The sequence below is a fragment of the Homo sapiens genome, chromosome 4 (assembly GCF_000001405.40).
Source record: "Homo sapiens chromosome 4, GRCh38.p14 Primary Assembly".
NCBI classification, from domain to species: domain Eukaryota; kingdom Metazoa; phylum Chordata; class Mammalia; order Primates; family Hominidae; genus Homo; species Homo sapiens.
In genome coordinates, this window is record NC_000004.12 from 140,689,250 (window position 1) to 140,702,467 (window position 13,218).

The window sequence follows — 13,218 nt, forward strand, 5'->3', positions numbered from 1 at the left end:
CCAAGTTATCACACCAGGTACTTTACTTTCAGAATCCCATGGAATCCAACACTATTCCTTGGTTGTCGTGGATAGAAAAGCCCATCAGCCATAAGACCTATCAGCTTTGCACAAGCTGCTTTCAAAGCTTCCCTTCCTCCTTCCTTCCCCGCTTCCCTTCCCTTCCCCCTTTTCCCTTCCCTTCCCCTCCCATTCCTTCCCTTCCCCCCTTCCCTTCCCTTCCCTTCCCCTTTTTCCCTTCCCTTCCCCCTTTCCTTCCCTTCCCCCTTTTCCCTTCCATTCCCCCTTTTCCCTTCCCTTCTTTTTCCTTTCCCTTCTCCTTTTTCCCTTCCCTTCCCCCTTTTCTTCCCTTCCTCCTACCTCCCCTCCTCTCCCTTCCCTCCCCTTCCCTCTCCCCCCCTCTCCCCTTCCCCCCTCCCCTTTCTCCTTCCTCCCCTCCCTTCCCTTCCCCTCCCCTTCCTTCCCTTCCCCCTCCCTTCCCTTCCCTTCCCTTCCTCCCACCCCTTTTTTTTTTTTGAGACAGAGTCACGCTCTGTTGCCCACACTACAGTACAGTGGCATGATCTTGGCTCACTGCATCCTCAAACTCCTGCGGCTCAGGAGATCCTATCACCTCAGTCTCCCCAGTAGCTGGCATTACTGGTGTGTCTCACTACACCCTGTTAATTGTTTTTATATTTTTAGTAGGTCTCAAACTCCTGGCCTCAAGCAATCCGCCAGCCTTGGCCTCCTGAAGTGCTGGGGTTACAGACTTGAGCCACAGTGCCTGGCCTGTGTGCTTTATGCATAAAGAAAGGATAAAGGTTTCTTTATGCACACATTTCTATATGTACATCCCCACCACACACACACTCCCATAGCAGAAATGGTATATGCCCATATGAATGCACTCCTTCAATAAACATCTAACTTGTACCTCCAGCCTTCACTGACATTATATAGTCCACAGGCTAATTGTCTTTCCCACCCCATCTTCAAATAGTCATCTGAATAATCTTGCATTGAAGTTCAGGTTTACTATCATTGTTTCCCCACCTGTTGCCTCCTCTGCTGCCTCAGGACCTGCTGTCCCACACTGCCCACTGTCCATCATTTCCATAATCCCCACCATCCACCTCCAACATTGTTCTCACCACTGGCTCTTTTCTCTACTGCTCGCTATGAGGTAGGTAATGCCTACATGTCTATCTTCCTTTACCAGCACTAGCCCCAAACCTATTGCTTCTGCTTGTGCTGTTTTTGTTCTGTCCTCTGTCTCCTGTCCTTCCTTCCTCACTTGTGTCACATGAAAAGGCTGGCCTTTTGGAGTCATCGCCAGCCACTCGCTGCTCCCATGTATAGGAGAGGTGCTGGGACCATAAGTCTCAGGATCTTCAAGTCTTTCAGCATGCTCAGTGCTTTGGGGCTGCTTCGGTACTGCCAAAAGGGGTTTTGGAAGTTTCTTCTGGCTACATCCAAGCCTAAGATACAAAGAGTTTCAGAAGACTGGATTCTATGACCAGTATAGCAGGAACTCTAAAAGTAAAGGTCCTGGTGTGACGACTTGGTAAAGGGCAGAGCATGGTGAGAGCACTACTCGAGTCAGAAGAACTTTGTGTATTATTATATGAACCCATTATCATCATATGCTATTTTAGAAAAGAAAAAAGACAAACACTATCAGTAAACAGCAGCTTTAGGAATTGAACTATGGATTCCTATCTAGACCCAACAGATACTTTCTGGGGAGAATAATGTAAAAGTATCTTAAAATTTATATTTACTGCACAAATGCACCATATTCTCTGAACACTTTCCTAAATGCACAAAGAAGCAGTGAGGACAGGTGTTCCAGCTCCAGGTTCTGGTCACTAAAAGTACGAGGATACTGAAAAGTACGAGCCAGGACTGAATTCACCATCACCATCTGAAGATGCCAATCCAGTAAAAAATACTTCTGGAAGCAGGTGGCCACTTCTGTCCACTTCTCACCCCAGAAAAAAGGGTCCAAGTTACCTCTCAGAGATATCAGAACAAATGCCACTTTTTCTGGACCACTCCTTAAAAACCTGAGACTCCAAAGGAAACGTGTTTGAATCCCAAATGTTCCTTATAAATGGCTCTTCCATTTCTCAAGCAGATTAAGTACATGCGCTGCAGTAATTCAAGTCTTAGAACTTATTAAAGTGAGATAATATGAAGCTCCTTTGTCATGACCCTGACAAGGAACTGATCTATTTACCCAGCAGCTTGAACAAACTGTGTTAGGACACTCAGAAGAGAAAGGAAGGGCTTGGCTGTTGATTTTCTGGAAAGGCCCCATTTACAGAGATGCAGCAGGAAAAACAAGCTGACCCGATTGTGTAATCAGCTGGAATAACAAAGAACCCTGATGTTGGGTATGAGAATCCTTCAGGAAATGCAAGTTAAAGCACTCTGCTGTGGCTAAAAACTAGAACACTTGATAGGCTTAAGGTTTAGACATTGACTTCTAAAAAATAAGAACAATTATCATTTCAAGCAGTTTTTTAGGGTAATGGCCAGAGGCCCTAAATATATACCTGGGCAAACTTTTTAATGTTGTCTGCAATGATGAAAAATACGAAATCATCCTAGTCTAATTATTCATCTAGTTTGAAATCTATCTTAAAGTCATGAAGTCTACTTGAAATAAATAGAAGATGGACCTCCAAAATGATTCTATCACTTCTGGCCTCTGAGGATTAAGAACAAAGGTTTAAGGCTCCACTGATAGATATTTGGCAGATATTTCTTTTGTGATGCATGATTCATAATAAATTTTTTTCTTCCTACCTCCTAGGAATAATACATTTTGTTTCTGGGACTGCAGAACTTGAGAAAAACCTGTATTGCAGAATAACTAAAATGGTGAATTCTCATTGATCATAAGTGTATGTATGCACATGTGTAGGTACATTTGTATGTGCATACAAAAATAAAAACCACTCATCACATAGCAGAAAACAAAACAAAAACCCAATAAGCCTCCAAGGATTAAAGAGCAACTGACCTAGTATTTTCAGATTCAGAACAGGCTATGTGGATCACTGAGTTCACATGAATTGCACTTGAAGCTAATTAAATAAAGGGAACCAAATGAATAAATCATCTGTATTATGGCCTTATCCAATATAATCTTAGTCACAAAGATGATAATTTTGAAGTTTCCATACCAAATGAAGGCAAGAGTATTACTCCATATACTGGAGCAACCTTTAATCTGTCCCTGTATTTACCAAGCCACCCTTGTACTTTCTACATCCAGAAAAATTACAAACTTATATTCAGAGAGGGCAAAAGACAAAACCCAAAAATAACATGGTGATTTGAAACATTTTTAGAAACAAATGAAAATATACTTTTTCAAAATCCACATCTAACTAAAGTTATAATTATAATCAGGTTAAGTAAGATGATAATGATAATGCCTTCTATTATTTGTGCTTACCAAGAATAGGCATCACACTTAACTACTGAAATGTCAAACAGACCGGGCACGGTGGCTCACACCTGTAATCCCAGCACTTTGAGGGGCCAAGGCAGGTGGATCACTTGAGCCTAGGAGTTCGAGACCAGCCTGGGCAACATGGCAATACCCTATCTCTACAAAAATTACAAAAATTAGCAGGGTGTGATGGTGTGTGCCTGTAGTCCCAGCTACTCGGGAGGCTAAGGTAGGGGGTCACCTAAGAATGGGGAGATCAAGGCTGCAGTGAGCTGTGATTGTGCTACTGCACTCCAGCCTGGCTTGCTCCACTCCAGAGTGAGACCCTGTTTCAAAAAAAAAACAACAAAAAACAACAAAAAAACTGTCAAACATATCCAGATTTTTCTGGCTCTGAAGTCTATATATATGTATTTTTAATAATCTTTTTCATTTCTTTATTTATTTTAATAGAGACAGAGTCTCACTATGTTGCCCAGTCTGGTCTCAAACTCCTGGGCTCAAGTGATCTTCCCCACCTCAGCTTCCCAAAGTGCTGGGATTACAGGCACAAGCCACTGCACACATCCAAAGTCTGCACTCTAAATTGCTACACTTTGCTGCCTTCTTACATGTTTTACAAGTGCAGTGAGTATGAATAAAGGTTAAATTATCTGAAATAAGAAGAAGCCTGGTTATGAGTGAGGCGATATTACTTAATGCCTCAGACCATGTCGAGAAAGTACACCTGGTTTCAAACTTCTACAATGCCACATACTAACTCTGGGGCCGTGGGTAAATTACTTTAACCTCTTTGTCCTTCAGATTTCTTGTCTGTAATATGTAAGGAACAACACTTAACACACTGGTTTGTGCTAGAGATTAAGTCAGGTAATACACGTCAAGTCCTTAGAACACAGAAAACACCAAACAGTTACTTTTGGAATTATCATAAGCAGCAGAACACAAAGACCTCATCTTGAAATGTGATTCAGAAAATATTTCTAACTTCTGATGTCAAGAAAAGAAACTAGCTGTTTAACTATTGCCCAACTAACATACATTTAGCACAAACCTCTCAGGCCCTGGAACACTTATGTTTGATTGCAAAGGGTGCATATTATATGCCTAGGCCCTCTTGTGTAACTCTGATAAGATTCTGACATAACTCTGCTTATAATCTCTTATGGGTCATAATAATATGCTCACAGCTTTATAATCACTTTGAGAAGAGAGTCCTAGGTAACTCATTCAGCCTTGGCAATAAGAATCAGTAGTTAACATCCTTATTTTACTGGATAGTGGGAACATAAATGTCTATCTTTCTGGAGGGCAATCAGGCTAGACATATTAATTACATGCATATCCTTTTTTTAACTTGTTTATTTTTGCTATTTTAATTATATGTATATTCTTTGATTCAAGATATCTACTTCCATAAATTTATCCTAAGGTGATAATTAAGAGAATGTGCAAAGATTTTGTTGGGAGAATATTCACTAAGATTGTTCAAAATACAGTAATAGTAGGGGAAAAAACCCTAGATTTCCAATAACATACTGAGTAGATAATTTATGTTACATTCACATAAAATATCTACTTATTAAAATTGATAGGCCAGGCGCAGTGGCTCATGCCTGTAATACTAGCACTTCGGGAGGCCGAGGTGGGTGAATCACTTGAGGTCAGGAGTTTGAGATCTGCCTGGGCAGCATGATGAAACCTCATCTCTACTAAAAATACAAAAATTAGCCAGGAGTGGTGGCGTACACCTGTAGTCCCAGCTATGCGGGAGGGTGAGGCAGGAGAATCACCTGAAGCTGGGAGTTAGAGGTTGCAGTAGGCCGAGATCGTGCCACTGCACTCTATCCTGGGCAACAGAGTAAGACCCTGTCTCAAAAAAAAAAAAAAAAGAAAAAAGAAAATTGATGGTATGGAAATACATTTTATTGACATAAAAATTATTTTCAATATATTATTTTCCATTTTTATTTGCATTTAAATACATATCTGTTATATATTTATATATACTGTAAATATATAGTATACACATAGTATATATTATATACCTATATATTTGTATATATAGGTATATAAAGTATATTGGAGATTTTTTAAAGTCTGAAAGTGATGATTTGTGATGTGGTATTTTGTTTTCTTTTTTATTCATTTTATGTATCTATATTTTGTAATTTTTGCAATAAACATGTATTGCTTGAAGAAAAAAGGAGCAATTATTTTTGTTTGCTTTCTTAACTCACTGTGTTTCTAAAGATACGAGAATAGTCCTTGAGTTACACAGACCAAGAAATAATTATAAAAATACCTATCAACTTTCACATTACGTCTGCCTCATGCAGAAGGCAACTAAATTACCCAACATTTTCTTTATCTACAGTAGAGAATAAGAGCAGAACCAATTAGTAATCTTTAATTAAACTCTGGGTCTTACCAGCCGCTAACTAAAAGAATATTTAATTATAAAAGCCAGCATGGTGCCACTTAAGAAGTCCTGGGATGGGAGTGGGGAGACCTGAGAACTTGGTCTGAGCACCACATAACTAGTTATAACCAGGAATGTGAACTTGGACAATTCACCTTGCTTCTGCATCCTACTACAATAAGAGGGGCAGGCAAGACGATAGCTGCTCTATCTTTCATTTCTGAAACACAATGACCATCTAGGACCAGATGACATTCTGGAATGGTAAAGAAAAGGGAAACTCAATCAATACACAGCCAAATCAAGGCACCGTTCGGCACTGTTGTCAGTGAGCTGTCCGTCAAACACATCCTCTCCACGCTTTCCTTTATTAGCCCTTTTTGAAGGTCAGATGCATCCAGAGGGAACTGCCAGCAGCTCCTTCTGTATCTTTGTTTCTAATTCTCCTGAGCTGTCACAGAACTCCTTTCTTTAGATCATATCCTTGGAATTACCTGCATTCCTATGTGCCCATATTCCCATGGAGATCATATAACCAACCCTTCTTACTGTTAGAACCTTCTAGTCCTTATAATGGGCAGAAAGCCAAATGGCTTTCTACCTGTGCCAACTGAAGGCCAAGGAAGACAATGGACTGGACTCTCTGCTGCCTCTGGAACACCATATCCAAAACAAGAGCTGCTGGTAGCATATCTGTACCTATTTTTACTCCAATGTGAGCCCCAGGTGCAAAATAGTCAATTCACTGGTAAACCATGAGAGACAGAATTGTCAGAGTACAGTAAATCAGCTCAACAAAACTGGCTGGATAAAAGGTAGAATTTACTGTACAAACTATTAAGCATAATGCTTAATTGTAGGCTAGAATTGTTGACATAATGGCATATTAGCCAAAAAGAATAAAAACCACATTTTGGGTACTAGTGAAATGAAATGGTCGTTGTTTAGGAAAGTTTTTTGGCTCCCTTTCCCAATTAAAGTTCTCCATGTCAAGGAAATGTAAACGATCAACTTCTTCAGACCAACTTGGATAAACTAACAGAAGATAAAAAAGAGGCGGGCCAGGCGTGATGGCTCACGCCTGTAATCCCAGCATTTTGGGAGGCTGAGGTGTGCAGATCACCTGAGTCAGGAGTTCGAGACCAGCCTGGCCAACAAGGTGAAACCCCGTCTCTACTAAAAAAACAAAAATTACCCAGGCGTGGTGGCAGGTGCCTGTAATCCCAGCTACTCGGGAGGTTGAGGCAGGAGAATCACTTCAACCCAGAAGGCAGAGGTTGCAGTGAGCCGAGATTGTGCCACTGCACTCCAGCCTGGAGACAGAGCAAGAGTCCGTCTCAAAAAAAAAAAAAAAAAAAAAAAAAAGATAAAAAGAGGCATATGAAAATAATGTCTCATCAAATAACTCTTGGTACCTCCACCCCGCTTTCTATATGATTCATATTGCCGAGGGCCAGGTGCTTATTACAGTGGCAGTAAGATGGTCCAAAACAGTCCTCCTGCCTGATTTCATGTGGCTCAAGTCTAAGGCAAATCATACAGCTAGGACTTACCACTAACACTACTACTGCTCTATGTGGTCTATGTCAAGACATTGGTCGCAGATGCTCCCTTTAATTCAATTTATGCTTATTAAAGATTTACAAAACACATGACAAGATCAAGGTTTATAGAAAAAGGTTTTATAATCCCATGGATTCTACAAGGCAGTGATTTAGACTTACCCAATTATCTGCAGAAGTTTCTTTTATAGCAATATTTCATAAAATCCTAGCAAATTAGAAGTTTTTAATATATTTTCCTATGCCATACTAACTTTGTAGTTTATGAAAAATAACATTAAATTTACAAACAATAAGATACAGATATATTTTAAAAATCTTAAGGGAGAAGCTTCTGCTCTTAAAATCTTATCATGAAAAGGAGCCAGTAACTTGGATTTTAAATGGAAATCAGTAAGAAAGAACAATTAATAGGTGGCCTGGTGTGGTGGCTCACACTTGTAAACCTAGCACTTTGGGAAGCTGAGGCAGGCGGATGGCTTGAGCACAGGAGTTTGAGATTAGCCTGGGCAACATGGCAAAACCCTGTCTCTACAAAAAAATAAATAAATAAATTAGCAGGGCACGGTGGTGTGTGCCTGTAGTCCCAGCTACCTGGGAGGTGGAGGTGGGAGGATCACTCAAGCCTGGGAGGCAGAGGTTGCAGTGAGCCAAGATCATGCCACTGAACTCCAGCCTAGGCGACAGAGTAAGACATTGTCTCAAAAAAAAATACAAAATGCAACAAAACACAACAACAACAAAAAACCACTTTCACAACGCCTGTCACTTCCTTCTGTGCAGTCTTCCATAAGGAAATTCTGGAGCTATCTCTATGGGTAATCAATATATACAAAAACTAAAACCATTCTGGGTTTATTATAATGAAACAAGTGTCACTGGGAAAAGAAAACTATACATCTCTTTGGACAATAATTTATGCCATCAGCATTCACAGCGTAGTGTTCCTTAGCCTTGGCTCAGCAAATAATTCAGGAATAACTCAGCTTTGTAACATACAATTCTATCTCATAGGAGTATTCACAGGAAGATCTGTTTCATAGCAATACCATGGCAAAGCCCCAGAATCAGACTGAGGAGTAGTAACGTCAGGCAGTGACATTATAAATGTCAATGACAACAAAGGTAATGGCTCAGGGGCAGAGGAAAAGTCACAGGAGACACAAACCAGTTCCTTACATCACCAGAAATTGAGGTGGGAAGACCGAGCCTGGAGGGCTGTAAGGAGAGATCTGAGGGCTCTGAAGACCTGCTGCCTGCAAAGGATCTCGCAGGCAGTTTGGCACTCATGGTGGGATTGCTGGAAAGTGAGCAAGAAGGCTGCAGCGTCCTTTTCACACCGTCATGAGGTGGAGGGGTTTGGTGGCTCTCCCTAACTTTTAACTTCTTTCTTTTTAGTTCTTCATCTGCTGACTATGAAACGATTCTAGATTGTTTGCCAACTAAATGTGATGCTTTCCCAATCAACTACGGCAGGCCAGATGGCACTTTCACTTCTACGGGCTCCCTCTGTGGTGGGTAAACGTGCAGAGAAGACTGGAACACTGTCTTCCAGGAGCCTAGGTTACACTGGTAAGTCTGTCCAGGTCAGAGTCCCAGCTTCCTCTTCCTTAATCCTTTATCACCTTCCTCTCACTCAATCCCCATTCTTCACTTCTAGATGGGTTTTCCCGCAGCTCTAAACCTTGAAGCCATGCCTTCGTTCATGGGCTGTGTAAACAATGGTTATAGTCAATTGTCATTCGCTGGGCTGTTTGCATCTCAGAATACATTTAAAAAGACATAATTATGGCCTGGTACGGTGGCTCATGCCTGTAATCCCAGCATTTTGGAGGCCGAGGTGGGCGGATCATGAGATCAGGAGTTCGAGACCAGCCTGACCAACATGGTAAAACCCCGTCTCTACTAAAAATACAAAAACTGGCAGGGCGTGCCTGTAATCCCAGCTACTCAGGAGGCTGAGTCAGGAGAATCGCTTGAGCCTACGAGGCAGATGTTGCAGTGAGCTGAGATCGTGCCACTGCACTCGAGCCTGGGCGACAGAGTGAGACTCCATCTCGGGGGTGGGGGGGGGAAAGACATAATTACAATGTTAGAATTTCAGGTACTACTAAATCCTTGAAGGAGAATTACCCAGGCAATGGAGCTTGCCAGCAGCCTGAAATCACACCCAGATAACCTCCTCTAATTCTGCAGGAGGCTAGCCTATATTCCTCTCTTTAGTTGGATGCCCAGAAATTAAATGGAACTGTAAGGCACTGGTTCACACTGGGCTGTAATTGACTATTTACTTGTATCCTCACTAGACTGTACGTTTCTCAAGAGCAGAGACCAAATATAATTGTCTTTATATTTTTAGATCCCAGCACAGCACTTCCTACCAAGTAAAGATCAATTTTAAAAATGAATGAAGTCAACTGAAAAAGCTCCCAATGGCCAAAGCTGGAACAATTTGAGCAAAGAATAAAGTAATGTTGGATTATAACCCAGAAGACAAAATAAATAGGCATGAGTCTATAGTGACATAAATAATTAAATAAATAAATGAGGGAGAAAAGATAAATTTACTGTGCAAGAGAATTCTCCATAAATTATGTCAATAGTCTACCCTAAAGGAGAGAAAAATCCCTACTCCTTAAGTATGGACTGCACATAGTGATTTCCCTCCAAAGAGAATACTTTGAAAAGGGGAAGAACAGAGTAACTTTACAGTGGACAAACCTAAAAAAACACTATTTCAGGGAGGTGATCAAGGAGGCCCGCAGTCATAAATCATGTTGATAAAATGTACACTTGGCATGGTGAAACAAAATGGCCCTTTATCTCTGTGATCTTCCTCACAAAAATCTACTGCCCCTGTCTAATCATGAGAAAAATATCAAACAAATTCCAATTGAGGAGCATGCCAAAATATACTGGATCAGTATCTTTCAAAACTGTCAAGATCATCCAAGCCCAGGAAAATCTGAGAAACTTCCACAGCCCAGAGGAGCCTAACGGGATATGACCGACTAACTATAATGTTGTACCAGATGGGATACTGAAACAGAAAAAGAAAATGAGGGAAATCTGAACAAACAATGGACTTTACTTACAAATAATGTATCAACACTGGTTCATTAATTATAACAAATGTACCATAGTAAGATGTTAATAATAGAGGAAACTCTGCATGGGGGGTGGTATAGATGAGAGTTCTCTGAACAATCTGCTCAACTTTCCTGTAAATCAAGTAGAGGCAAAAAAATAAAAGTTAAAAAAAGTGTTCATATAGAGCCCTTACTTTTCTTATGGTTATTTTAAAAGCCACACACAAACAAAAACTTGGCCATTTTGGGCCAATTGCAGTGGCTCATGCTTGCAATCCCTTTACTTTGGGAAGCCAAAGCAGGAGGCTCACCTGAGCCCAGGAGTTCAAGACTAGGCTGGGCAACACAGAGAGACACCATCTCTACAAAAAAAGAAATTATATTAAAAAAAAAAATAAAAGTCCAGGCGCAGTGGTTCATGCCTGTAATCCCAGCACTTTGGGAGGTTGAGGGGGGCGGATCACCTGAGGTCAGGAGTTCAAGACCAGCCTGACCAACATGGTGAAACCTCGTCTCTACTAAAAATATAAAAATTAGCTGGGCGTGGTGGCATGAGCCTGTAATCCCAGCTACTTGGGAGGCTGAAGCAGGAGAATCGCTTGAACCTGGGAGGTAGAGGTTGCAGTGAGCCAAGATCGCACCACTGCACTCTAGCCTGGGCAACAGAGCAAGACTCCGTCCCAAAAAAAAAACAAAAAAAAACTTGCCCAGTTTGGACTAGAAGTTCTTATGAGAGATCCAATAAAAGCAAGATTAAAAAAAATTTTTTTTGCTGGGTGCAGTGGCTCACACCTGTAATCCTAGCACTTTGGGAGGCTGAGGTGGGCAGATTGCTTTGAGGTCAGGAGTTCGAGACCAGCCTGGCCAACATGGTGAAACCCCATCTCTAGTAAAAACACAAAAATTAGCTGGCATGGTGGCAGGTGCCTGTAATCCCAGCTACTGGGGAGGCTGAGGCAGGAGAACTGTTTGAACTTGGGAGGTGGAGATTGTGGTGAGCCGGGATCACGCCACTGCACTCCAGCCTAGGTGACAGAGTGAGACTCCGTCTGGGAAAAAAAAAAAAATTAAGACTAGTCAAGTGCAGCAGTGAGAAGTGGGGAAAGAGTAGAAAAGGAGTTCCATCTGCAACTGACTGTGATCAATGGAGATAGCTCATGACCTTCGGACCAGCCAAAGCAAGATTGTTGACTACTATTTTAAGCACAGCACAGCATTACTGATTATCATCAGGAGAAATAAAGAATCCCTACTCAGTAGGAAGTACTGTGCTAGGATATATACTTAGTACATCCAAGTATTCCACACAACTCTCTTCATTTCCCAGCTTCCTCTGCAGTGAGGTTGGGCCCACGTGACTAGTCTCGGCCAACTAAGTGTGAGTGAAATGGAAGGTGGAGTGTGCCACTTCTGGGCCAAGGAAGTTAAACACAGATGTGCTCCACCCTCACACTCTTCCCTTGTATGCTGACCTTGGAGGCCTTGTGTTCCAGAGAGTGTCACTACACATGGAGGAGGCCACATGATCCCAACACGACTCTATCAGAGTGAGAAAGAAACTTTCATTGTGTTAAGCCACTGAGACTTTGGGTTCATGTGTTGAAATGGCTACGGTTAATTACCCTAAAATACCAGTGATTGCATTCAGCAAGTACACGTTCCTTTCCTTCTGATAAAAAGTTGTTAACCCTAACGCTTCTTTTAAAACTTGTGTATTTCTGGATGTGGTTGCTTACCACAGGCGATGGTCCAGTAGACCAGGGAGTCTGGAGTCTGGTACAAGATTCGGTAAGGAGCGACCCGGGCGCTGGAGTCCAACACAACATCAAGGGTACCCACCAGCAGGCCTGAGGGTGGAAAGTGGGGAGAAACAGGTAAGAATTGCCTTAGTACTTTCCCACATTCCCAGGGGCAGCATGAACATGCCCTTTCATGAGATCTTCCAACAACCCCATCTCCCACTGAACCACACCTTGAAAAATTTCATTTTAGGATGATGCTGGCTCTACACAAGTTGCACAACTTGACAAGGTCACGAGAAGCAGTCGTGTCCATCTGATTCAGTCTGCCAGGCTGCCCCACATGTTATTTTCATCTGCCCCACTTTCCATTTATGTTTAAAAAATTAGTACAATTCAGCTCAGCAAACACTAATTAAATTCCTACTATGTGCAAAACAAACCCTGTGGGCACAAAACTGAAGAAGACAGCATCCCCAGGGCATTTATCATCAAGTGGAGAAGAAGGTCAGGCAGTGCTTTGGTACTGTGTTTAGAAGTGAGCTAGGGCCGGGAAACAGAGGGATCTTCCCATTTCCACAGCAGAGTCCTCTGCCATTTGTGACATCAGTCACGATAACCAGGGCTAACCAGAGCCTGGTTTATGCTATGAAATGATGCAGGAATAAGGTTGAGGATCAGGGTCTGCATTTTTAGCACAAAGTTTAGTTCTTTCAGTCAAGAACCCCAGTGATCCACTTATCCAGGGTTTACCAGGCCCATGTGAAAACTTGTTCACATTGTCCAAGTCCAGACAAGCCTGAATGTTCAGCAAAAGAATTTAGCAATTTATTTGTAAGGAATACAAATGCCCAGTATACCAATGCTCACTTAAGAACAGGCTGTACCTTCTCTTTCTAGGAGGAAAATTGACAAGGAAAAGGAAATTAAGAGCAGAAGGCAGCTTAGTGAGCAAAGGTGG

General features: G+C 41.7%; 1 protein-coding gene and 1 pseudogene across 1 annotated transcript in view; both read right to left on the reverse strand.

The window, feature by feature from the left end:
• The window catches only part of TBC1D9 (TBC1 domain family member 9), a 135,604-nt gene that overhangs the window by 68,468 nt on the left and 53,918 nt on the right, over positions 1–13,218 (reverse strand). Inside the window, exon 2 of the mRNA NM_015130.3 lies at positions 12,255–12,365. Coding sequence (NP_055945.2) covers positions 12,255–12,365 — 111 coding nt within the window. The remainder of the gene's footprint in view (positions 1–12,254; positions 12,366–13,218) is intronic.
• RNY1P14 (RNY1 pseudogene 14) lies at positions 11,586–11,693 on the reverse strand (annotated as a pseudogene).